The following is a 26,641-nucleotide window of genomic DNA, read 5'->3' on the forward strand; positions in this document are numbered from 1 at the left end:
ACATGTTAATAACAAAGTGATCCCAGCATTAATTATTGAATCATTTATCCAGATAGAGCCTGTCTGCCTGCCTGCCTGCCTTGGTTCCTCCCTTCCTTCCTTTTTCTCTCTCTTTCTTTCAGCAGAAACCATCTCTTCTCTTTTCTCTGCTCCCATATTTCTGGAGGGAAACAGAGAGTGGTATGGAACTGAAACAAAGAAGAAAGAAACCAGAGAATGTAGTAATGCTGAACAGGTTCAGAAGTGCTGTACAGCATTCTAGAATAGCTCTGTTCTACAACCTTGCCCAGTGACACACATATAAATAGGCACTTCTGTGGGTCAACCATGGTACTTTGACCCACTTAGTTTCCTGGCAGAGGTGAGAATAACAAGGCAATTCTCTCAAGATTTGTGCGCATAATCCTGGTTATAATGGATTCATGATTTTGTACCTGTCAACATTTAAAAGAGGAATGGACTTGACAAAGCTTCGAAGATTTGTTTCTACTTGATTATATAATATTTTAAGTGACCATAACAGGTTTCAATTTTTAAACTGATTTTTCTCTTTTAGGGCAGAACCATACACTTTTCCTCCTACTTCTACTAAGCACCTATCCATCCCTTCAAAGTCTACTGTGGGCACTCAGACTGATTATCGGGATGCTGACGTTCAAACAGATCCATACTCTGCAGAATATGTAGTATGTCAGGACTCAATCCCTGAGCTCTTGACCCTGGCTACGCTTACTTGGGGTGAGTTGGTAAATCTCCTGACTATTGGCAGATGACGATGCTGATAACCACGCATGCTGTTCAAATGGCCCATGTACAGGCAATTGTGGTTTACAGTGTTGCTATATAAAGTGTCTTAGTACAGCAACTTCATAGACTCATAATTTTTCTGATACTTCTGGTCAAATAAAGATACTATCTTTTTATTGTGAGTAGTTTTATCGTACTCTATCTGTGAAGCTGAATTTCAGCTTAATATTGCAGTTGCTTTGCTGACTACTCACCTATGTCCTCTCATTTCTCTCTCCTAGTGAACCACTTCCTTTTCATTGAGCAATCATACTTCTTTAAACATAAGCTTTGAGTGTAAAATACTGAATGCACATTCCTATGTATGTCATATTATCTTAATTTGCCAAAATATCTTAATTTACCAATCCTCCCTTATATACTTTATTAGATGATTTGGATGACTTGACATTATCTCTGAAATGCTAAATATCTTTCAGGCTCAGAAATTAACTCTTAGAATGTAATAAAATCTGGCCTAGGCCTATATTATGTGAACCTATAAAATTAATAAGTGAGACTACCTTTAGAAATTATTAGAAATTAGCTTATGTAACTCACTTAGTTGTATTAATAGCTGGGAAACTGAGAACCAGAGAGGTTAACTAATTCCTCCAAGGACATAGAGATAGTTGGTTCATGGTAATGATTTTTAAATGAGATTACTTTCCCCCGCATTGTAACAGATAGCTGTGATCAAGTCTGCGTCCCAGACAAAGAAGATGTTCATATCTGGGCTCTAGTTTTGATTCTTGTTTCCTGGCCCACTTTATGAATCCAGATTAAGCATTATCAACACCCATACTTTTTTTTGAGACGGAGTCTTACTCTGTCGCCCAGGCTGGAGTGCAGTGGTGCGATCTTGGCTCACTGCAACCTCCGCCTCCTGGGTTCAAGTGATTCTCCTGCCTCAGTCTCCCGAGTAGCTGGGAGTACAGGTGCATGCCACCACACCTGGCTAATTTTTTTATTGTATTTTTAGTAGAGGTGGGGTTTCACCGTGTTAGCCAGGATGGTCTCGATCCCCTGACCTCGTGATCTGCCCACCTCAGCCTCCCAAAGTGCTGGGATTACAGGCTTGAGCTACCGCACCTGGCCCAACACCCGTACTTTAAAGCAGAGGCTCTACTTTCAGGCCTAGATGGCAAATTAAAAATATGCTGAAACCTTCCCTTTCTGCTCTGAATGCATAAAAATTACAGGAAAAAATTAATAAACATGTAGACACACTTAAAAGCAAGAAAGAAAATATTCGTAATGTAGAAATGGAGACTTTTTCCTAAGAAAGAAGTAGCTGGGAACCTTTGGTGGTGAGTAGGAGCTGTGCATGGCAGGGAACCAGGTCCAAGTCACCTGCCTGAAGGTGAGGGGCCAGCGCCCTTCTCCTGCACACTGGTGCAACTGAAGCCTGGTGCCTGCCCAATAAAGATTATAGACAGAGCAGAGTCAGGCATTCCTGCCTGTGGCCTTGGACTTTACCTCTTGGTGTGATAAGGACTTGGCGTTAAACTGCAGAAGGACAAGAGCCAGGCAGAGGCTCAGAAATGCTTCATTAGGCAAAAAACAAACAAAAAAAACAACCTAATCTGGTACACTGTCATAGCAGAACTGAAGTTAAAGTGTCAATAAAAGCCTCTATGAGACAGGCCTACTCCTACCATTTGTGGGACCCAGGACTCTAAGGGAGGCCCACCTACCATATGTATAGATATTTTAAAATTATAAATCAAGCTAATATCTGTTAAGTAAAATACGTTGGTTTTTTTTTTTTTTTTTTTCACAAACATCTTTATAACAAGTTAAAAGGACAAGTTTAAATTGGAATTCTTAGACTCCTGGGATTCCATACTGTAATGCAGCAGCGAGGTGAGAGCCTGCTGTGGCCTGCCCTTTTCTCTCCCCACCCTGGCTCTGCTCTACATCTGAGGGGCCTGTCATGCATGCCCGTGATTACCCCAGCTCTTCTTCTCAATGTTCACACATCCCTACGAACAGCTGCCATTTGGCCCCACCTTGGGCTTCAGGGTGAAGAAACAGCAGCATATAGTATGCTCTCAGGAATCTGAATCCTGTGAAGAGGCCCATGGAACCTTTGGAAGCAGGCTCGGGGCCATTTGTAGAAGGATTTCCAGGACCACCTGGAAATAGCTCCAGGTGGGCATGAGGCCTTGGACTCCTCACCTTGTGGTGATGAGCAGGGTTCTAAGAATGAATTTAGGTAGTAGCCACTCGCAGGTCAAGGCTGCTTATTGACCAGGGTGCTTATGAGAGAAACCTGCAGCTGGTCTCCACCCAAGAACCCCAAAGCACACAAGGAACAGAGACACCAGGAGTGACCCACAACAAATAAAGGAAATGGAAGAATAAATTTCTGAGTAAACAGAAAATGGAGCAGTCTGAAAAGGACTTAGGAAGTGCTTTCTATATTCTCAAAAGGATGAGGGGGAAATAGCAACACCAAAACAAGAATGGGAGTCATGAAAAAGAACCAGTTGGAATCAAGGGGGAGGAAAACTATAACGTTTGAAATAAAGTGAACTCAATAGTAGAATAGACGGAGCTGAAGAGCAAATTAGTGAAATGACAGATTAAATGGACACATATTCCACAATGCAACATATAGTGGTAGAACAAGATAAAAGAAAAGTAAGAGCTGTGGGGGCTAGGACATGAGTATAGGGAAAATGGTAGAGAAGCAATGCAAGAATCAGTGGCTGAGAACTCCCCAGAACTAAAGAAAGACATTAGCCTTCACACTGAAAAATTCCACTGAGTACCAAGCAGAATGATTTTTTAAAAACTCACACCTCCTAATAAAAGAGAAAGAAAAAGTGAAAAAACTATTAGAAAAACTATTAGAAAGATAACTCAGATTACCTACAAAGAAAAAAAAAGATGGATATTTTGTAGTATTGCCTTTAAGGTGCTGTGGGAAAATGATTGCAAACCTAGAATTCTTTTACCAGGCAAACTATTATTGAGGAGTGAAGGCGAGATAAAGACATTTTCATACATAAGAAGAATATCTATCTCATAGGATACTGTAAGGATTAAGTAAATTTATTTATGTAATGTGTTCATACCTACAATCCAGCAATTTCACTCCTAAGTATACATCAAAAAAAAAAAAAATGAGCACATTATTCTGCTAACGGAAATGCATAGGAGTGTTCACCAAAAGACATATACAAGAAAACTCACAGCAGCATTAATTATGATAACTCCAAACTGAAAACAACCCAAATGTCCATCAACCATAGAATGGATGAATGAAATATAGTCTATTCACATAATGGAATTCTATATAATAATGAGAATGAAGTACAACTACATGTGATTACAAGGGAGATTGTAGATGTGTATATAATTGCGTATATAATGCTGAACAAAATAAGATACAGAAGAGTGCCTACACTGTGATTTCATTTACATAAAATGTAAAACCAGTCAAAACTAAATTAACGCATTAGGAATGAGAATGGTAGCTATCCTTGGGACAGGTAGTGACTGGGAAGGGAGTATCATGGGCATTCTAGTGTTCTGGTAATATTCTATTCCTTGATCTGGGTGCTGATTATATGGGATGTTTGTTTTTGTTTATGTATGCTGTACATTCATGAAAAGTTTACATAAAGATAAGGGAAAAATAACGACAGTGAAAAAGGATGACACTGTAAGCACTGCGGGGATAAAATTAAGTGCTTATGATGTGTCAAGAACTGATCCAAGTGCTTTACATTTTAAACCTATTCAGTCTTCACATGTTAAATGAATAATAAAGTTGAAACAAATAGTTGACAATACAGATCTTTTAAAAGGCAAAAGAAATGGTCATTAGGGCCATAAGTAATTTTCTAATGAAGATTAATAATACAGCCAAGCCTCTTGTAGGAAGCATCAAGAAAGAAGACAGAAGATGCAAACAGAGTATTGGGATAGAAAGGGGGACAGAGTAACTACAGAATAAACAACTTAAGAAATACGAGAGTGCTATGAATATCTTTTGCCCTATATTTAAAAACTTAGAAAGGCTGGGCGTGGTGGCTCACACCTGTAGTCCCAGCACTTTGGGAGGCTGAGGCAGGCGGATCACTTGAGGTGAGAAGTTTGAGACCAGCCTGGCCAACATGGTGAAACCCCGTCTCTACTGAAAATACAAAAATTAGCCAGACGTGGTGGTGGGTGCCTGTAATCCCAGCTACTCAGGAGGCTGAGGTTGCAGTGAGTGACCCAAGATTGCACCACTGTGCTCCAGCCTGGGTGACAGAGCGAGACTCCGTCTCAAATACATAAATCAAAAAAAAAAAAACTTAGGGGCCGGACGCGGTGGCTCACCCCTGTAATCCCAGCATTTTGGGAGGCTGAGGCAGGTGGATCACGAGGTCAAGAGATCGAGACCATCTTGGCTAACATGGTGAAACCCTGTCTCTACTAAAAATACAAAAAAAAAAAAAAATTAGCTGGGCGCGGTGGCGGGCGCCCGTAGTCCCAGCTACTCGGGAGGCTGAGGCAGGAGAATGGCGTGAACCCGGGAGGCTCTGCTTGCAGTGAGCCGAGATGATGCCACTGCACTCCAGCCTGGGCGACAGAGCAAGACTCTGTCTCAAAAAAAAAAAAAGAAAAGAAAACTTAGATAAATTATACAATTTTTAAAGAAAATGTAAATTACTAAGTTGGTTTTAAGAAGAAATCACAAACCTGAATAGAAGAGTAACTATAGAAATTGACCTGGTAAAAAGAAAAAAAAATTCTTTTAAGAGCACCAGGCCTAAACAGTTTTACAGGTAAGTTTACCACACCTTTAAGGAACAAATAAACTGCTTTATGCAACTTCTTTCAGGAAACACAGAATAAAAGTTAATTTATTCATTTTATGAGACCAGTATAGCCTTAATTTGAAAACTGAATGAGGACAGTACAGTTATTACTTAGTATTGGTAGCACATTGATTTTAGGACCCTCCAACCCTACCAAGATTTTTGGATGCGCAAGTCTCTTATGTAAAATGGCATAGCATTTGCATATAACCTACACACATCCTCCCATATATTTAATCTCTAGATTACTTATAATTCCTAATGCAATGTAAATTATACATAAATAGTTATTATACTGTATTGTTTAGGGAATAATGACAAGAAAAAAGTTTGTACATGTTCAGAACAGACACAGTTTAAAAAAAAATAATTTCAACCTGCAGTTGGTCAAATCCACAGATGTAGAACCATGGATATGAAGGGCCAACTATACTAGTAAGGAAACTTACAGGCCAATCTCACATATGAAGAAATATGCAAAAAAATTCTAAATAAGATACTAGCAATCTAATCTTGCTGTATTTTAAAAGAGTGACTTATAACCAGATGGAGTTAATCAGAGAAGTTCAAGTTTGTTGCAATACCAGAAAGCCATTCATGTAATTTACCATTTTAACCGAAAACATAGGAAAAATCCTCTGGGTGCAGGAAAAAGTATTTTATAGCATGCAGTGCTCATTTATGACATATACTCTGAATAAACTGGGAGCAGAAGGAAACTTTAGAGACTTAATAAGGAATATCTACCACAGCCTGTAATAAACATCATACTAAAGGTGAAACTTCAGAAGCTTTACCTTAAAAGAAAAAGACATTGGTAATGCTCATTATCACTACTATTTAACAACGTAGAGGAGATCTTAGCCCAGAGTTTATCAAGCCTGGCTATGATCTCTCCTTTCAGGAACATTTGGGAATATGAGTGGCATTTTTCTATGTAATAATGATAGGAAGTGCTTCTGGTATTTAGCTCGTGGGACAGGGTATAGCTGATAGGCTGGCATGGATACTAAACATCCTGTACTGCTTGGGGGAGTTTCATACAAATAATTATCTGCCCATTATGGCAATAGCACCCTGGTTGAGGAACACTGAGTCAGTGCAGCAAGATAAGAGAAAAATGGAGGCATGGCGATTAGAAAGAAGCAGCAAAACTATCCTTATTTGCACACGTGCTCTCTTAGAAAAATAAATTATCAGAACTAAAAAGAGAGTTCAACAAGAAGTCAACATACATCAGTCGCTTTCCTATATGAGAGAAATATCCAATTAGAAAAATTGTTGAGGCCAGGTGCAGTGGCTCACACCTGTAATCCCAGCACTTTGGGATGCCAAGGCAGGAGGATTGATTGAGGCCAGGAGTTTGAGACCAGCTTGGACAACATAGTAAGACCTCCATTTCTACAAAAGAAAAATTAGCCAAGTGTGGTGGTGCACACCTGTGGTCCTAGCTACTCAAGAAGCTGATGCAGGATTGCTTGAGCCCAGGGGTTCAAGGTTACAGTGTACAGTGAACCATGATCTTGCCACTGTATTCCCACCTGGGCAACAGAGTGCGACCCTGTCTCTAAAAAAAAAAAAAAAAAAGGAAGAAGATGAAAGAAAGAAAAAGAAGAGAAAAATTATTTAGCTGAGGTCAGGAGTTCAAGACCAGCCTGGCCAACATGGTGAAACCCCGTCTCTACTAAAAATACAGAGAAATTAGCTGGGCATGGTGGCATATGCCTGTAGTCCCAGCTACTCGGGAGGCTGAGGCAGGAGAATCACTTGAACCGAGGAGGAGGAGGTTTCAGTGAGCCAAGATTGCATCACTGCACTCCAGCCTAGGTGACAGAGCAAGACTCTGCCAAAAAAAAGAAAAAAATCTTGAAAAAAATTACATTCATTTATTTGTTTTAGAGATGGAGTCTTACTCTGTTGCCCAGGCTGAAGTGTAGTAATGTGATCATAGCTCACTGCAGCCTCAAACCCTATGGCTCAAGTGATCCTCTCACCCCATCCTCCCAAGTAGCTGGGGCCACAAGTCCACACCACCATGCCATGCTAATTAAAAAAATATATTTTTTTGTGGAGATGGGGTTTCATTATGTTGCCCAGGCTGGTCTCCAATTCTTGGACCTAGAAATTCTCCTGTCTCGGCCTCCAAAAGTGCTGGGATTACAGGTGAGCCACCGCACTTGGCTGAAAAAAATTACATGCACGGTAGCAATGAATAACAAAGTGCCTAGGGAATCACTTAATAAAAATGTACAAGGGATTTATGGTGAAAAGTATAAATTATTCTTTAAGCACATAAACAAAGATTTGGTGAAAAGAGAGAAAATATTTATCAATGGGAAACTCATGCTTGAATAGATAAGACTTCTCCCTCAAATAATTTATACCTTCGAGTAGTTCTAATCCAGATTCCCACTCTCAATATAACTATGCCTGGGTAAATTAGCACTTTTCATCTTCTCTTCCCAGAAATTATACAAAAGCAAAAGCAACAATACTCCCACGAACTCCATTTTCAGTAAAACTAAAAATATATGTAATTCATGAACCAGTAAATATTTGTAAGGACTGCAAAAAGCAGCTGAGATTGGGCAGATGCAATGTGGGAGGAAGTGAAGCATGCACCGTGGGAGAGGAACCATTAGGGGATCTCAGAAGGCAGGGGCAAAAATATACTTCTGAGGGTAAATTAAGCAATATCCAGAATTAAAAATAATCATATTTTATGATGTAGCTGCTAGACTCTAGCATTTCTACTTCTAAGAATCCTAGAGAAGCTCACATATGGTACAATGAGACCAGTACAAGGATGTTTGTTGCAACATTATGTATGATCAAAAAATTAAAAGCAATCTAAATGTCATTTGAGAAGATAGATAGCTTAAATTGTAATAAAGCCTTACAGTGGAAGAAGGAAACTAGATCTGTATATATCAGTACAGCTAGGCTTCCAAAACAAAGATGAGTAAAAAAAGCAAGCTGCAGAATGAATAGCTATAGTACAATACCATGTATGTAAATATTAAATAAACATCAGTACTGTGTCTTGCTTCTATAGAATTCATTTTTGGTTCATATTTGCTTTTACTAGACAGGAAGTATAGTATAGTGCACAAAAATACGAGGTTCAGACTGCCATGTGCAAGTTACTTAGCCTTTTAGCCCTTCAGTATCTTTATTTGTAAAACAGGCGTAATTATGTTTATGTGATAGGGATTTGTTGAAGATTAAATGCATTAGAAAAGTGCTTGGCATAATAAAAGTGCTTAAATAGCCAGGCATGATGGCTTATGCCTGTAATCCCAACACTTTGGGAGGCTGAAGCTAGCAGATCACCTGAGGTCAGGAGTTTGAGATCACCCTGGCCAACATGGTGAAACCCTGTCTCTACTAAAAATACAAAAAAAAATGAGCCAGGCGTGGTGGCAGGTGCCTGTAAGTAATCCCAGCTACTAGGGAGGCTAAGACAGGAGAATCACTCGAACCTGGGAGGCAGAGGTTGCAGGGAGCCGAGATCGTGCCATTGCACTCCAGCCTGGGTGACAAGAGCAAGACTTCATCTCAAAAAAAAAAAAAAAAGTGCTTGGCATAATAAAAATGCTTAAGTAATGTTAGGTTTTATTATTATTATAATTCATAGACACATAAATTTGTATATAAAATGTTAAGATTGAATAGAAAACCACAAATTCCTTTTTGTGTTTACTTGGGGAAATGGGAGAAGGGAATGGGGCTCAATGTGGTAGTTAAAAGGTACATCGGCTTTATTTATAAGGTTTCAATTTTTTATTAAAAAATGTGAAGTATATATGACAAAATGTGTACAGTTGTTAAGTCTGCATATTTATGGTATGATTTTCATAGTTATTTTTTAAATTACTAAAGAAAATGCCACGCAAGACCCACCAAATAATATGTAGATACATATATATACATATATACACATACATATATGTGGTATTTTGTATACAGATTTATTTACTTCTTTATACATCTATAAAAGTAAAAAGATGAGCTGGTGGTATTACTCCTCACCAAATGCATCATTGTGACTGCCTCTGGGAAGGTGATCAGAATGAGGAAGCAGAGTACAGAACTTTAGCCTTCTCTATAATACCCTAATTTTATTTTATTTTATTTTTATTTATTTAGTTTTTGAGATGGAGTCTCACTCTGTCACCCAGGCTGGAGTGCAGTGGAGTGATCTTGGCTCACTGCAACCTCCGCCTCTGGGGTTCAAGTGATTCTTCTGCCTCAGCCTCCCAAGTAGCTGGGACTACAGGCGCCCACCACCACGCCTGGCTAACAATACCCTAATATTAAAAACAAGAGATAGTGAATTCATATATTACTTATTTGCTTTTTAAAAGCATAAACATTGCAAAAGATCTGAAATAAGACACAAATCTTAGGCATGCCCTACTGTACGTGGTAGAAATATGACCTATTACTTATTTCCTTAGATTTTTCTGTATAATTATATTTTTAAATGAAAATAAAACAAAGGTTGGCTTATTGTGGTTCAGTGATCAAACAGGAAACTTGTTCCAGCCTCCCTTTCCTTTACCTGCTTTTGCAAGGCCACATTTAGAGGTGCTAGGCACCTAAGTGTGCTGGCATCCTCAAAACTTGATCCAGGGAGGCATACGTTGGCTTAGGTCTCAGCCAGTGTCTCGGAGCTGGTCAGGAGACATATCCAGTGGCCACATCCTCCTGCCTGACCTACAGGTATTGTGTCTTTGAATGCTTAAAGTTGCAGGTAAGAGATAGCCCTAAATTTTACATTCACTATGGGGACAAAACCCAAAGATGGTGAATTCTCAGCTAGTGATTAGTGTCTTCATTTTCTGTTATTTTTTAAAAAAGTATGTGGCCAAGTGGCTCACACCTGTAATCCCAACACTTTGGGAGGCTGAGGCGGAAGAATTGCTTGAAACCAGGAGTTTGAGACCAGCCTGGGCAACATGGTGAAACCTTGTCTCTACAAAAAAATAAAAATAAATTAGCCAGGTGTGGTGGCACATGCCAGTAGTCCCAGCTACTTGGGAGGCTGAGGTGGGGGGATCATTTGTGCCTGGGAGGTCAAGGCCACAGTGAGCTGTAATCACATCTCTATACTCCAGCCTGGGCAACAGAGTGAGACCTTGATTCACAAAAAAGAAAAAAAAAAAGTATATATTTTTCACTTTTATCGAACAAATTCCTTACCCCATATTTTTCCCACCTCAGGGCTCTGAAAATGCCTTGTATTTCAGTATATAAATTTGTTTATTACAGAGCATTCCAAGGTGTGATTATTCAGTAGTCACTTAATATTCTTCAAATGCATTCCAGCATTCTACATGCAACTAAAATGTCTTACGGCTCAATTACTAGCAAGAGGCAGTGGGGCACAGATAACACAAGCTGTGAGGCACATCTAGAGGCTGTTCCCTAATGTCATGTTATGCTGTCATGGCCCTTGAATTTGGAGAAGAGGAAAGGAACTGACAGGGAGTTAATTATATACTGGGGGGTGCATGGGTCAGCTCACTTGTTCCTAAGCTGTGCTGCTTTATCCTGCAGGTCGGGGTCTCCCAGCAGGACAAGCTGAGGTGGAGATGATAGAAAGAGCCCGCGAGAAGCGTGCTTGGGAAGCCTCTCTCCCCGCTCTGAGTGACACCTCCCAGTTTGAGAAGAGGAGGAAAATGATGAATGAAATGGAGAGGAAGGAGTGGGCCTTCAGAGAGCAGGAGATTGAAAAGTAGGTTCTCTATCACCCAGACAACTGTTCCTGCACTGGTGGGAATAATGTTAATACTTTATATCTGCAAAGCATTCTCCCAAATGTATGGGTTGAAAAGCAATCCTCAACCTATAGAGATAGGAAATTGGGCATCCGGTTCTTTCAGGAGCAGTCACATGCTTCTGATGTGGTCCAGAAGCTCTGTATAATTTTCCCTCCAAAAACATTAAAATGTAGAATGCCCTCTGTGTGTTTGAAGAAGCTCAGCATGGAACCCAGGTTTGAACAACTCCTGAAGGGCATCTCTGATTCTTCTTTTCCCTTTTCTCTTTAGTATCTATCTTAACTGTCACAGAATCCCACTAATTTCTGCAAAGCACCTTTCAAACTGTCCCTTCATGTTCATTCCCAGCGCCACTGTCCCAGTGCCTGGGCTTTCTTCATACCCCTTCAAACAGCCTTGGCACTAGTCCTAGCTCTTACCCACCCCCCACCCCGACCCAAGACACTGGGTTCACAGTCAGGATGCCTTGCGTGCTAGCTAGAGCTGATGGGGCATTTCCTAGTTAAAAGACAAATTATGGAATTCTTCCATTAAGAGATGAGTATATAACAATATACATAAATAACAATATGCTGAGGTACTTGTGGTTGGGTTTTCAATTATTTTAACTGATATATTTTCAGTAATGGAGTTGTTGCTGATATGTGGAAATGATAAGAGATTATGAGAACCAAAAAATTATAACTCTCTAGCAAGAACAAAGGAAGGGCGTTTGCTGAGTTTGTCCTTTGTGCTAGGCTGTGCTGACGCACTTTATTGCTCTAAGCAATGCTACCAAGGACCCTTACACACAAGAGAGGGACCTAGAGAGTTAGAGTCTCAGCTTGGTGCTAAATTTGGAATATGTTAAATTTTTTGCAACACCTTCAGATTAAGCCTGAATCTAGGCTTTGTGATGTTTTGATAAAAGCTTGCAATTTAGTAAAAAAATAGTGTTTGGGCAAAGTAGGTGTCAAATACCCAATCCTGTTGGCAGAAATTTAAATTTATTATTGTACTTTGGAAAGATATGTGTCTTTTCAAAAGGCATTAAAACTGTTAAAAATGTATCTGGCCAGAGTGAAAACGTCATCTGAGAAAGCAAGTACATTTGTTAAACTGAGGGCAATTTTAATACATGTATTTTGAGTCCCTTTTACATGCTAGACTCTGTGCTGTGAGTTGGGAAAATAGGGATGAATAGGAAACTGCTCTTCCTGACAGAGCTCCTTATGGTCCACTGGGGCAGGGGGAGCAGGGAAGGTGGACAAGGAAGGGACAAAAGATCTTAGTTAGATCAACCCCTCTCAGGCTGTGTCTATCAGGTGATGTGCTGTTCTGTACAAAAAGTGCTTGGTGGAACCCAGGTGAAAGAACAGTTAGTTCTATTTAAAGTGGGCGATTTGAGAAAGAAAACTACTAAGAGGAGGTAGCTTCTGAGCTGGGTTTTGAAGGGTAGGTAAGAAGCCATCAGGCAGATAGTAGTATCAGACAATAATATCAGAAGCTATCAGGTAGACCAATACTTGAGAAGTGTTGGTCTGAGATTTTTTGCACCGTCTCCTTGCCCATCTGCCTGCCCCTTCCTGCCCCAGTGAACTATAAGGAGCTCTGTCAATAATATCAGATTGATGATGATAATGATGATGATGATGATGATGATGATAATGATGATGATTAGTGGACTATAAGGAGCTCTGTCAATATCAGATAAGTGAATGGTAAGGAGCTCTGTCAATAATAATAATATGATAATGATGATGACGAGTGGACTATAAGGAGTTCTGTCAATGATATCAGATGAAGAAGAAGATATCTATAGAGCATGGAACACTTATAGAGGGCTTACTATGTGCCAGATGATGTTCTAAGCATGTAGACCTCAAAGTGTGGTCCACAGACCAGCAGCATCAACATTACCTTGGAACTTGGTAGCAATGAGGTGATCAGGCCCCATCCCAGGACCTACTGAATCAGGGGTTGAGGCCCAGCAATCTGTGTCAGAACCTGCCCTCCAGATTATGCTGCACTCTTAAATTTGAGACTATTGTTAGAGCACTTCGTGTATACATTAACTCACGTAATGCTCACAGCAACTTCATGAAGAGGGTACTATTATTATCTCCACTTTACCATTGAAGAGATTGAGGTCAGTGGTGACATGGAAAATTGAACCTAGCATTTCTGACTCTAAAGAGAAAGGTGACTGGGGTGTGTGGCTTAGTTTTAAAAATGCCTACCTCTCCATACTCATTTGTCACTACACTCTCGCCCCTCTCAAGTGCATTCACTCTGAGAAACCCTGCCAGTGTGACATCTTGCTGTCCCTCCAGTCCTTTTGAGTTGAACATTCAGCTTCCCCTGCTGAGGCCCTGCTTTTCCTTTGTCAATGTAGCAAATCCCAACCCTGAGTTAACAGCTCCTCTAAGGAAGGCTTCCCCACCTGTTCCCTCTTTTCCCCCTGCCCTATCCTTTCTTCTTCCACGAAGAGTTTTCACTCTTCTAGCCTGGTATGTATCTCCTTGTGCGGGAAATGTCGGTTCTTATGCCTATTCCACCAGAACAGTGCTTGTTGAGAGAAGGTGTTTTATCTTGTACATCATTGTTCCTGCCTGGCATATGGTGGGCACTTAATAAATATTTGACAAATGAATAAGTGAATAAATTCAGGTATGAATTTCTAAGCAGGAGTAAAATGTATGTTCAAATCTCTGTTTTAGGAAGGAAAACCTTGACAGCTGGGTGGAGCAAAGATTAGAAGGAGGACAGACTAGCAGCTAGGAGTCCACTTTAGGAGTGATATGACCAGACATGAGCCAGGGAATACAAGAAGCATTGCCGAGGAGAGATCCTTAGCAGCGGGAAGAAGGTGTAAGAGGGTCAGACTTCTGGGGGAACAAATGAGTAGGGTTTTGTTTTGTTTTTTTAATTGTCAAGTGGTGACTGGAGATTCAAATAGATGGAAATTCTGGTTCAGAAATATCTAAGCTGGGCTGGACATGGTGGCTCACGCTTGTAATCCCAGCACTTTGGGAAGCCAAGGTGGGATCACTTGAGGCCAGGGGTTCGAGACCAGCCTGGCCAATGTAGTGAAACTCCATCTCTACCAAAACTACAAAAATTAGCCAGGTGTGGTGGTGGGTGCCTGTAGTCCCAGCTACTCGGGAGGCTGACCCATGAAAACTGCTTGAACCCGGGAGGCAGAGGCTGCAGTGAGCTTAGATCAGGCTACTGCACTCCAGCCTGGGCAACAGAGCGAGACTCTGTCTCAAAAAAAAAAAAAGAAAGAAAAAAGAAATATCTAAGCTGGAGGTACAGATAACAGTCATCTGTGCATTGTTGGATGCACATGAGCAAGGTAGCCCAAGGAGAACAAGTTGAAGGTAGGAGGAAAGGAAACAAACATTTGTTGAGTACCTATTATATGCCAGGAACTGGCATTTTCACCTCACTCCTTAGGATAGCATGCCAGAACCGCATTTCCTCTTCACTCCCCCTATTATGTAACCCTCCAGGAATACCACTCAACCTGGCACTGTGCACAAACCTCTTACTGTTCCTTTAGGCCCACCTGCCTAGAGAGCCCTTCTTTTACCCCATCTGCCTGGCATAATCTTCTTCATCCTTGAGAACTACACCCATATATATTCCTATTATATAGAGAGTCTCTATTGAGTTGCCTCCCCCACGCCCTCAATTCATCTGTCATACTTTTGCCAGAGTGGTCTTTTGGCAATACATGAATATGATAGCAGCCCACAGAGAAGAGCCTGTCTGTGGCAGCTGTTCCCTTGCCCTCTGTTTGAGATGCCATATGCTTCTTTATGTTTTGTAATTTACTTGAAGACTGCAGGAGATTCGCCTGGAAGTTCTAAAAGAGCTGTTGAGGAAGCGTGAAGAGAATCAGAATGAAGTGAATATGAAGCACTTGAATGCCCGGTGGTCTAAACTGCAGGAGGGAAAAGAGGCAAAAATGGCAAAAATTCAGCGCACGCATGTATCAAGTAATGGTGTAGTATGAACAATGAAGACGGTGGAAAAGTGGGCTTTGCTTTGGATCTTTGACCAAACCTGACTTAACTATGATATAATTCTGTTTTGGTCCTGGGAATCACATAGGTAAGGGCTAAGAGATGAGTTATTTCTTAAAGGTAGAAGAATGGAGGAAATTCCCTTACTAAGAAAATCAAGTGATGGTGTCCTAACAGGTAGTCGAGTTACTGAGATAGTGTGTGTGTGTGTGTGTGTGTGTGTGTGTGTGTGTGTGTGTGTGTGTGGTGGGATAAGTGTTGGGTTCCCCATATTCATGGTCCACAGCCCTGGATAAAGAGCCCTGTTTCTTACCCTTTCTTCATTTTGCCCTTAAAGGAGACATTTTAGACATCCTTTTTCCTAATCACCTTGCTACAAGAAATTTTAATACCGCAGATATAACATATATATGTTTATGTACTATATGTATATGTATTCTGTACTTTATACATGAAAAGAGGAAGTATATGGTTTATTATTTTTATTCACTGCAAGATTAATAATGACTGAATTAAAGATTCAAGTTAAATTTATATTTGAAAAATTTAAGGCCGAGAGAGGTAGCTCACACCTGTAATCCCAGCACTTTGGGAGGCTGAGGTGGGAGGATTGCTTAAGGCTAGAAGTTCAAGACCAGCCTGAGCAGCATAGTGAGACCACGTCTCTACAAATTTTTTTTAAAAACAGCCTGATGTAATGGTACACATCTGTAGTCATAGCTACTTGGAGGCTGAGGTGGGAGGATGGCTTGAGCCCAGGAGCTCAAGGCTACAGTGAGTTGTGATAGCACCACTGCACTCCAGCCTGGGTGACAGAGACCTTGTCTCAAAATAAATAAATAAATAGTATCAATTACATGTGCAGACTATTTATATATGTACTCATTCACAATATAATCACATTTTAAAAAATCATTCAAAACTTATTTTTCCAACAAAAACAAAACAATCACAAAAACAAATTATTGCTTAAAATTATGTTTAGTGAACTTAAATTTAAAATTTTTCTTTTTGAGAAAAGAGCACTTAACTGCTAGATATTTATTTAGATACAATCAACATTTGTTTCAGTACTTGGCATAACTAATGATAGATCTGACTAATTTTTGTAGGTGAATAATAACATTTAAATCATTTTTACTTAATTCTAAAACCCAAGTCACACCCAGAAGTGCTGAGAATCAAACATAAACAATATCCCCAAGACAGCAGTGGCACACAGGCCCCCTCTTGCAGCATGACGTCACGATCTTGTATAAGATTTTTACCCCCATTGAAAACGCACAATGCAGAGCCGCCAAAAGGTCTTGGGTCTGTGATGGGATTTGAGAGAAAAGGAGCACAGGAGGTGGCGAGCATGACTCTTTAGATGAGTATACTCCTGATGTGCACAGTTGAGCCTTTCCCTCTGACTGCCAAACAGTTCAGAAAGCTGTAAGCTGAGACAGTCTTTGGTTTATTTTGGTGTTAACCAAGATGAACCTGTAGTCTTTGCTTTTGATTATCCTTGTAGGGGAGAATAATTCCCTAGTTCCCCACTGAACATGTATTTTCCAGTTGCTTTGAGTTTCATTCATTTAACAAACTTTTACTGAATACCTCTTCTTGGCCTGGAGCTTGAAATGCAGTTATAAAAGATTTTTGACGAGTACCGATTGAGGACACTAGCTGATTCTGCTTCTGTCACTCCTGCCTGTCTCATGACAATCTGGGCCACACAGATGGCAGATCTCTGTTTTTAATGTTACATTCTGGCTGTCGTGAGTCATCAGGAAATTCATTCATTTCAATAGCTTCTCTGTGAATAACACTAGCATTGGCTTACTCTTCTGCATTTGTAATTCAGAACAATATTTTAGAGATAGTCATGGAGGTATGTTTTATTTCAGCAATCAGAAAACTTGTAGGAAAGAGAAAGAATATAGAAGGGAAGTTGGAGAGAAGAAATATCATCAAGGATTATTCTGATTATGCATCACAGGTCTATGGACCTCTGTCTCGTCTTGGGTGTTTCCCAGACAACAACTCAGAGGACTTTGTAGTAAAAAACTACTATCTCAACACCTATGAAGGTAAGCAATTTACATAATTAGAAATCCAGTATAAGAAGGTTGTCTCAGAAATATGATTAAATATATAAAATGTAGAAATTTAGATTAAAAGCTAAGCAATAAAAATATTTGCAATAAACACTGATGATACAAACCAATAAAAACTACTAAGACCCAAATAAATAAATGGACACACTATAGAACAGTTCAGCAAGGACCAAATTCAATTAGCTAGTAAATGTTAAAAAAATGTTTAATGTCACTAATAATCAAAGTTATTTAACAATGAAATTGAGAAAAGTTTTATTCCAGGTTTATGAAGCCAACAAGAAATATGTATAATGAAATCAACCTTTTATAAAGAAATGTCAAAAAACTAGTGGGCAAGAGGATGGAGAACCAGGTGATAAGTTCACGGAGAGGACTATACCTCTTATGAAGTTCAAAAGAGGCTTATTTAGTTATTTAATTTCACTGACAAATTGAAGTATCACATGGCCAAGATCATGAGTTGCTGGTTACACTGCTGAACTTGTAGCTCTGGCTGGCCATCTCCAGAGCAAAATGTAATAAATTGGTGAACGTCTACTTTAGAAGGGTGGCACCACATATCATAGAATCATTAATTTTCTGTTGATTATTATTGTGGAATTGCTACTTTTTTGTAGGGCAATATTTTCACTTTAGAATGCATTTCTCATTGTACAGTCTAAGTCACTGACAACATGAGTTAATTATATGGAAATGTGCTATTACATTTCAGGGACACTTCATTCTATTATATGAGATACACCCTCTCAACAATTCTAATGAAACTGCTTGGCAAACAGCTACAAAAGTTAACAATATACCTTAAAAATAATAAACGTAAGCACTGGATACTAAAAACATGTGCTTCCTTCCCATAGGATTAGTGGAACTTGAGTCATGTCTCCCAGATTTTGTGACACAACCCCAAATCAGAGCTCCAAAACCTAAAGTCATTACCACCAAAGCTGGTTTTCTGAAGAGGGCAGCAAGGTTGGACTATGAGTTGGCAGAGGTTCATAAGGTATAATCATTATCTGGAGGACAAAATGCTTCTAGTATGATTTTTGCAGATAAATGCTACACTCCAAAAATTGCAGCAATGTCCAGTGGGTCAAACATAGACCTACATTCTCTGCTCTGCACTTTTCTGAGGTTGCCCATGCTGTGCTGAACCAATGTGTATTTCCCCTCATTTCACATTTCAGGAGACTTCTTGGAGATTTTTTTCCCCATTTGCAGAGGTCATATTACTTTCTGAAAGCGTTTTCCACTTGGATCTCTATATAAAATTTGACGCTATACTAAGGTGTAGCAAGTTTCTATTGTTGGTGTTAATAGCTATAATAGGCCCGATTTTCTCCCTTTTGTGTTCATGTGATCAGGGCATATGAAGAAAAAGAGTCATGTTCAACACCTTTCTCATGTAGTTAAAGCTCTAAAGGCTCTAGTTAAAGCCTTCACCAAGACTCACAGTACGTCATCCACCAGCTGGGCTTTCCCTTTTGGTAGCTGGACTATAGGTGTATAGAATCTGTGGTTTATGCTGGTGGTTCTCATTCTTTCCTGTGCATCAGAATCTCATGGAGGACTTGTTAAGACACATGCAGCTGGGCTCCATCCCCAAAGTTTCCGATTCAGTAGGTCTGAGGTGGGGCTGGAGCATTTGCCTTTTTTATAAGTTTCCCGGTGATGCTGCTGCTGCTGGTCCAGGAACCACACCTCGAGGCCCACTGTTTTATAATACACTCTCATCACTGGCCCATGCATGCTTGTTTGTTCAGTTGATTTTAGTAGTTAATAAAAATTGATGGGAACCTATCCTCAAAACAGGACCTTAACAGTAATTTATGTATATCGAGGTGGTTCTTTCCCACCTCATCCCCACGCCCCCATCTCCTTTCACCCATCCTGAATGCTGTGTTCATCATTCTGTCACTTTCTGTTAAGATTTTTTTATAGATTCTTTTTATTAGGTTACGGAAGTTCTCTTCTTAATTTACTAAAGCCTTTAATCATGTGTTTATGTTGAATTTTATCAAATGTTTATCACACAATTTTTGTATATTTTTTAATTATTGTAGTAACATTTATAATTGTTTATAAATATTAATCTATCCTTGCATACCTGGGATGAACCTGCCTTGGTCAGAGCATACAGCTTATTTTCAATACCTTGTTGGATTTGATTTACTCATATGTTGATTAGGATTTTGCTTCTACATTCATGAGTGAAATGACCTTCTTGTTTTTCTTTCTCATTTTGACTATGTATGGGGTTGGTGTTATAATTACGCAGGTCTCCTGAAGTGAACTTGAGAATATTCCTTCCTTTTTCTTTTTTTGAGAAGAGTTTAAATAAGATTGGGATGATTTGTTCCTTCACTTTGGTAGAATATGCATATAAAATTATCTGGGACAAATGTTTTCTTCATAGGAAAAATTTTAACCACTACTGCAATTTCTTTACAACTTATAGAACTCTTCTGCATTATTTTTGGTAAATTTTTTTTTATAAATTCCATTTCACCTACCTTTTCCATTTTTTTGGCATATGATTGTTGATAGTATTGTTTTATAATCTTTTAAATGTTTGTTTTATCTTATTCATGTCTACTCTTTTCACTTACAATATTGTTTATTTATGCCTTAACTCTTTTCCTTAATCAAGTTTACTGAAGGCTTGCTTATTTTCTTAGTATTTATGTTTCCAAACAATGAACTTTTGATTTTGTTGATTTTCTGTGTTATATTTTTAATCACATTAATTTATACTCCTATATTTATTCTATATTTCTTTCTACTTTTTTAGGGTTTGTTTCACAGGTCTTACCTTAAATTGCACATGTAGCTCATCAGTTTCAGGCATTCATCTGTTTTATATAAGTATTTTAGGTTAAACATTTCCTTCAAAATACTGACTTTTGGTACATTTCATTAGTTTTGATATGTAGTATTTGTCATTCTTAATTTCTAATATCAAAAAACCCATTATGATTTTTTAATCTGTGAGTATTTAATAGTGTGTTTTAAAATTTCCAAATATGCAGGAATTTTAACTCATTTTCTCATTAACCTCTAACTCAATTGCATTGTGATCAGAGGTCATAGTCTGTGTGATACCTATCCTTTGAAATTTCATGAGGCTTGCTTTGTGGACCAGTATATGATTATACATGTAAAATAATAAAAGTACATCTTCAAATCACACTGTGCCACTTGATGGGTAGAGCAGGCACCTTAGAGCAGATTATTCCCAACTCCTTCTTCCCTTCCCTGTGATATTCCTGTCATTCATTTCACTCGTCCAAGTGCTATATATAATCAGCCAATACTTTTTTACTTTTATTGCTTTAGTTAACAGTTATCTTTTAGATTAAAAATAAGAACAACAATATATTTTATTTATTCCTTCTCTTCTGCTCTTCTTATACTTATATCGATCTAAGTTTTTGATCTATAACATTTTTCTCCTGCCTGAAGAACTTTTTTTTTTTTATAATTTCTTGCAGGGAATGTCTGCTGGCCATGAATTCCTTCAGTTTTTGTTTGCCCCTTTATTTTGGGGAGCGGGGGGAATGTAATTCGCACACAATAAAATCACCCTTTAAAAATATATAATTCAGTAGTTTTTAGCATATTTACAAATCTGTGCAACCATCACCACTATCTAATTCCAGAATATTTTTGTCATCCCCAAAACAAACCCCATGCCTAATAGTGCTCACTTCCAATTCCCCCTTCCCCTCAGCCCCTGGCAACCACTATTCTACTTTCTTTCTATTGTTTTTTTTTTTTTTTTTTTTTGAGTTGGAATCTCACTCTGTTTGTCAGGCTGGAGGGCAGTGGTGCGATCTCCGCTCACTGCAAGCTCTGCCTCCCAGGTTGACGCCATTCTCCTGCCTCAGCCTCCTGAGTAGCTGGGACTACAGGCGCCCACCACCACGCCTGGCTAATTTTTTTTTTTGTATTTTTAGTAGAGACGGGGTTTCACCGTGTTAGCCAGGATGGTCTTGATCTCCTGACCTCGTGATCCACCCTCCTCGGCCTCCCAAAGTGCTGGGATCGCAGGCGTGAGCCACCGCGCCCGGCCTATTCTACTTTCTTTTTATGGATTTGCCTATTCTGGACATTTCATATACATGGAGTCATGCAGTATATGGCCTTTTGCGTCTGGCTTCTTTCACTTAGCATAGTATTTTTAAGGTTCATCCAGGTTTTAACACATCTCAGTACTTCATTCTTTTTTTATGATTGTGTAACATTCCATTGTGTGGATATACCACATTTTATTTATCTACTCATCATTTGATGAATACACCAAGAATATAACCATGTCTAGTCAGTGGTTAACTTTTTTTTTTGTTTTTTGAGATGAAGTTTTGCTCTTGTTGCCCAGGCTGGAGTGCAATGGTGCAATCTCAGCTCACTGCAATTTCTGCCTCCCAGGTTCAGGTGATTCTCCTGCCTCAGCCTCCCGAGTAGCTGGGATTACAGGCATGCACCACCATGCCCGGCTAATTTTGTATTTTTAGTAGAGATGGGGTTTCTCTATGTTGGTCATCAGGCTGGTCGGTTAATATATTTTTAGGAATATCATAGCACGTCTTGAGAGATACACACATTCTTGTTAGTGTTTCTCAAGCTGACCTAGCATCACCATAGAGAATATTAATATTCTGATTAATATTTATATCTGTGACCTAGATCTGGTAATGAAGGAAAATATAGGGTACAATATACATTATTCAGGTGATGGGTATGCTAAAAGCCTAGATTTCACCATTATGTAATACATTCATGTAAAAAACTGCACTTTTACCTCTTAAATTTATGCAAATTTTTGTTAAAAAAAGAGATTATATTAATTGGCATTATTTCAGGCACTGTTGGATAAGAAGAATAAAGTTCTTGAAGTAAAGAAACCCCCTCGCTTCCTTCAAAGAAACCCAATACCTCAACCTCGGCTTCCAACTCCAACCTTGGAAATGACGTCCAATGTAAGTTGGAAACTTTTTAGTTGAAATGCTAAATTCAATATCATTGTCAGCTTATTCTTAGGATAGTTTAGCTTAAAGCAAATCTAATTTAGCAGTGTTAGTTTCCCAAGCTCTGACTTAAATATTGTCTTTATTCTTATGTATCAAACATCAGACACAGAAAAACAAACGAGATGAAATGAAATCTAAACCCAGTCCTTCTCAAAAATAAAAACACAATTTAAAAAATCTTTCCATGAAAAATCAGCATCAGAAGGTAGTGCTCATGTATATGAAATAGAAAAAGAAGATTGAGTGATGATCAGCTACCATAGCTATCTTCCCACATGGAGAGATGGCTGATGACTGTTGGAGTCGAAGAGGAATGAAATGCCAGAGGTGTCATCAAGACGGACTTGCTTCTGGGGTGGGAATGACTCAAAGAGCCCTGCCCAGGGCCACATCTCACCAGACTCAATTTGAGCAAAGTATCAGAGTTGGTTAGGATTTAGAGGGCTGACTCAGACTAAACAAATCCACAGGAAACTGTTAGAGATGCCATGATGCAAATTTATTACTTTACAGAGAGAACTATAACTGCCTACTGGATCAGGCTGTTCCTCTTGGCTGGTCAGCACATTATCTCTCAGTATGGGACAGTCCTCACAAGAAGCCAGATTGTATTCAGAAGGCTGATGTGTTTCTTGGCTGAGGGCAGGTGTTGGTGGGAGACCATGCTAACACCTGTTACTACCTCTGATGAGTGGCTCCTGCAGAGGGACCAGAAAGCTCCCACCAGCCAGCGGGGATGTGCTGCTGGATAACATTCTCTTTTCTAGACTTTGTGCAGGGCTTTGGTTGACATATTGTCTTTTTTTTTTTTTTTTTTTTTTTTTTTTTTTTTTGAGACAGAATCTCGTTCTGTCACCCAGGCTGAAGTGCAGTGGTGCAACCTTGGCTCACTGCAACCTCTGCCTCCTGGGTTCAAGCGATTCTCCTGCGTCAGCCTTATGAGTAGCTGGAACTACAGGCATGTGTCACCACACCCAGCTAATTTTTATAGTTTTAGTAGAGATGGGGTGTTGCCATGTTGGCCAGGCTTGTCTCAAACTCTTGACCTCAGGTGATCCACCTGCCCTGGCCTCCCAAAGTGCTAGGATTACAGGCATGAGCCACTGTGCCCAGCCTGACAACACATCGTCTTTCATGTGTGTTAATGTCATCGATTAGACTGCTGTTTTCTTTTTACATTCAAAGGAATCTTAATTCGATTTCCAGACCCTGCTTTTTCTGCTTTGGACACAGAGTTTTTAAGATGATTTTTATAGATGGCTAACCTTGTCTCTTATATTCTGATTTTATCAGCATAGCTAAATTCTTGTGAGAAGTACCTTACTCTGACATAGACTAGCTGTATTTGTGTCTACTGATGATCAAACATGAAAAATCCTATTGCAAAATGATGTTATATGCAATACTTGTTGCTTTAAGAAATATTTTGCTGGAAAGGAATATAGGGAAATGAAAGTGGTTTCATTTGTAGGGATAGCATGGCAGGGAGTGAATTTTTTGCTTGTAATATGATTTGTTAATGATGAAAAATAATGAATTCTAATGTAAGTAACATTAAAATACTATATGTTCAATAAGGGCAGGGACCATCTTTTATTTCTCTTTAAATCTTTTTGGCATCTAGCACAGTCTGTTTTGCTTGAAATAAGTCTTCAAAAGAATATTTGATGCTTGGACTACTGCAGTTCTCAAGCTGCTTGGTTCTCCCTTTGTTCTTTTAGGAAGAAGAAGAAATGGAAATGGCTGTGATCTACCTTCAAAAGTTACTCCGGGGCAGAGTCGTTCAGAACATGGTGTGTAGGTCCAACCGCTGGCCCTGCATTTCTCTTTTGAGAATAAATTTTTTAGAATGCATATGTGCTTGGTTCCTTGGAGTGAATCCCTTTTGCACCCTGCTATCCTATTCAGCTAAACTCTTGAGTTGCCTACCCATTTCCTTCTGGTGACCCATTTCCTTCTAATGGCATCATTTGTCCAGGTGGGTGGCACAGTGTCAAGGAGAGAGACAGGGAGGACCTACCTGCTATTTGCCATGGTTGTAACTAAGGCAGTATGAAACTCACTTCTTCCTTGGAATTGTTAAATCCATACATTTTCTCACCTGAATTTTGGCTATTTAAGCATTATCAACCAGGTGGATTCCCTAATTTTCCACAGTCATAATACAATTATTTGAGTTTGCATATGTCTGGCAATCCCTACATTATAAATGAAAGAGCTAAATAATAAATTATGGTTTTGAACCTTTACTATATGCCCACACTATTTATTCTTTGCTCTACATATGTTGTCTCATTTTTTTTTCCTATCCATAATCTCATTTTACAGGCAAGTAATCTGAGTCTGAGGGAGATTTAGTTATCTGCCAGCAAATTCAGCTCTGGTCTTCCCGAGTGTAAAGCCTTAGCCAGATTATTTGTGTTGCTGGAGCAGGCACACTTCACTTAAAAAATGGACTGATATAAAGCCCCAGTTAATTTTTTTTCCCAGATAGCTATAACTCATAAGAGATTCAGATATGATGAGTAAATCATCTGGATGAACAACTTGTGTTTAGCACTGTTCTTTACTCTTCTTTCAGTATTTTCCCAAGAGAAATGCCACAGTTAAATTCAGACAACAGATTATTACAAACCAGGGACAGATTTATTGGAAAAAAACATATGGCCATGAAAAATGCCATCCTCAGGTTTATTAGGGAAGGAGCACAGGAAATGAGGGGAAGGTTCTGGTTTCTTCAGATGACCCTGGAGTTGTCATCTTGTCCTTGAGAGGCATTCTCAGAAATTAAGCACAGCTCACTGAAAACTAAGCCCATTTTCTGCCTGAGAAGCTGAAGGCACAGAAAAGAGGGCTGAGCTCTAGCTCTGTGGGACACATCTGCTCTGTGGAACCCAAAAGGCAGGACAGAACCCACTGTTCACAAGTGTCTCACAAGTCACTGCGTGTGACTCCTAGTGCTTGGCACAAAGGGATGGTAACTTGCAGGTCTGTCTTTGATTTGATTTGATACAGATGTTTGAAGGGAAAGAAAAGCGACTGGAGTTGATCCAGGAGTTGCGCACCTGCCACGCACTACAAGAAGATGAAAAGCTGGTGAAAAAAGCCGAGAAGCAAGTGACCCTGGCCTTACAGCGGCAGAGGAACTTGCATGAGCACAAGGTTTTCCTTTTTTTGTTTTCTTGTTACTTTCTTGTTAAATTTTCTCCCTTGATTTTATCATCACACAGCACCATTATAATAAAAATTAATGAAATGATGAAAAAGAAACAGCCCCACAATCCCATCACTCTGTCAGCATTTGTGTGTGTGTGTGTGTGTGTGTGTGTGTGTGTGTGTGTGATGGAGTTTCACTCTATCGCCCAGGCTGAAGTGCAGTGATGCAGTCGTGGCTCACTGCAACCTCTGCCTCACGGGTTCAAATGATTCTCCTGCTTCAGTCTCCCAAGCTGGGACTACAGGCATGCACCACCATGCTTGGCTAATTTCCGTATTCTTAGTAGAGATGGGGTTTCGCCATATTGGCCAGGCTGGTCTCGAACTCCTGACCTCAGGTGATCCGCCTGCCTCAGCTTCCCAAAGTTCTGGAATTCTTAAATAATGCTGCTGTAGTCCTTAATTTGATTGGGGATGTGCCCTTACTGATTTGAATATGGTGCTATTTTTTCTTTATTTGCAAAACAATAACAACAAAACAAGAAGAATGCATTCTTTTCAACTTTAAGATTTTTTTCCTTCCATTTTTTTCCCCAAATATCCAGTGACTATTGTATTTCAGTTAGTGAGGGCTTTGTAGACTGAATAAATAACAAAAGCAACATGAAAAAAGTGAGAAATAAGATTTATCTTAAAATATTAGCATTTATTTTGGAGTTTTAGAGCTGTCATAGCTCATGCTGGTTAAACTGCATATTAAATGTGTTACTGTTTCATGATATGTGGTGACTTTCGTCATGACCTCCCAGCTGTGTGCCGCCTGACACAGCTAAGAATTACAGCTCCAAACCAACAACTGTAAATATTTTTCCTATTTTCTTCCAATGTTTGTCTATATATGTATACACACTTTTAAATGTTATTGACATAGTATAGCTATGCTTTATTTTACTCCCT

General features: G+C 39.3%; 1 protein-coding gene across 4 annotated transcripts in view; it reads left to right on the top strand.

Moving 5' to 3' along the window:
• CFAP91 (cilia and flagella associated protein 91) overlaps positions 1 to 26,641 on the top strand; it is a 64,081-nt gene that overhangs the window by 11,984 nt on the left and 25,456 nt on the right. For all 4 annotated transcript variants that reach the window (NM_001320316.2, NM_033364.4, NM_001320317.2 and 1 more), the window contains 8 exons: positions 557 to 738; positions 11,166 to 11,343; positions 15,215 to 15,372; positions 17,289 to 17,471; positions 18,359 to 18,501; positions 22,361 to 22,477; positions 24,250 to 24,321; positions 25,544 to 25,690. In NM_001320316.2, the coding sequence (NP_001307245.2) occupies positions 557 to 738; positions 11,166 to 11,343; positions 15,215 to 15,372; positions 17,289 to 17,471; positions 18,359 to 18,501; positions 22,361 to 22,477; positions 24,250 to 24,321; positions 25,544 to 25,690 (1,180 nt within the window). The remainder of the gene's footprint in view (positions 1 to 556; positions 739 to 11,165; positions 11,344 to 15,214; positions 15,373 to 17,288; positions 17,472 to 18,358; positions 18,502 to 22,360; positions 22,478 to 24,249; positions 24,322 to 25,543; positions 25,691 to 26,641) is intronic.

This window comes from Homo sapiens, chromosome 3 (genome assembly GCF_000001405.40).
Source record: "Homo sapiens chromosome 3, GRCh38.p14 Primary Assembly".
Taxonomy (NCBI): domain Eukaryota; kingdom Metazoa; phylum Chordata; class Mammalia; order Primates; family Hominidae; genus Homo; species Homo sapiens.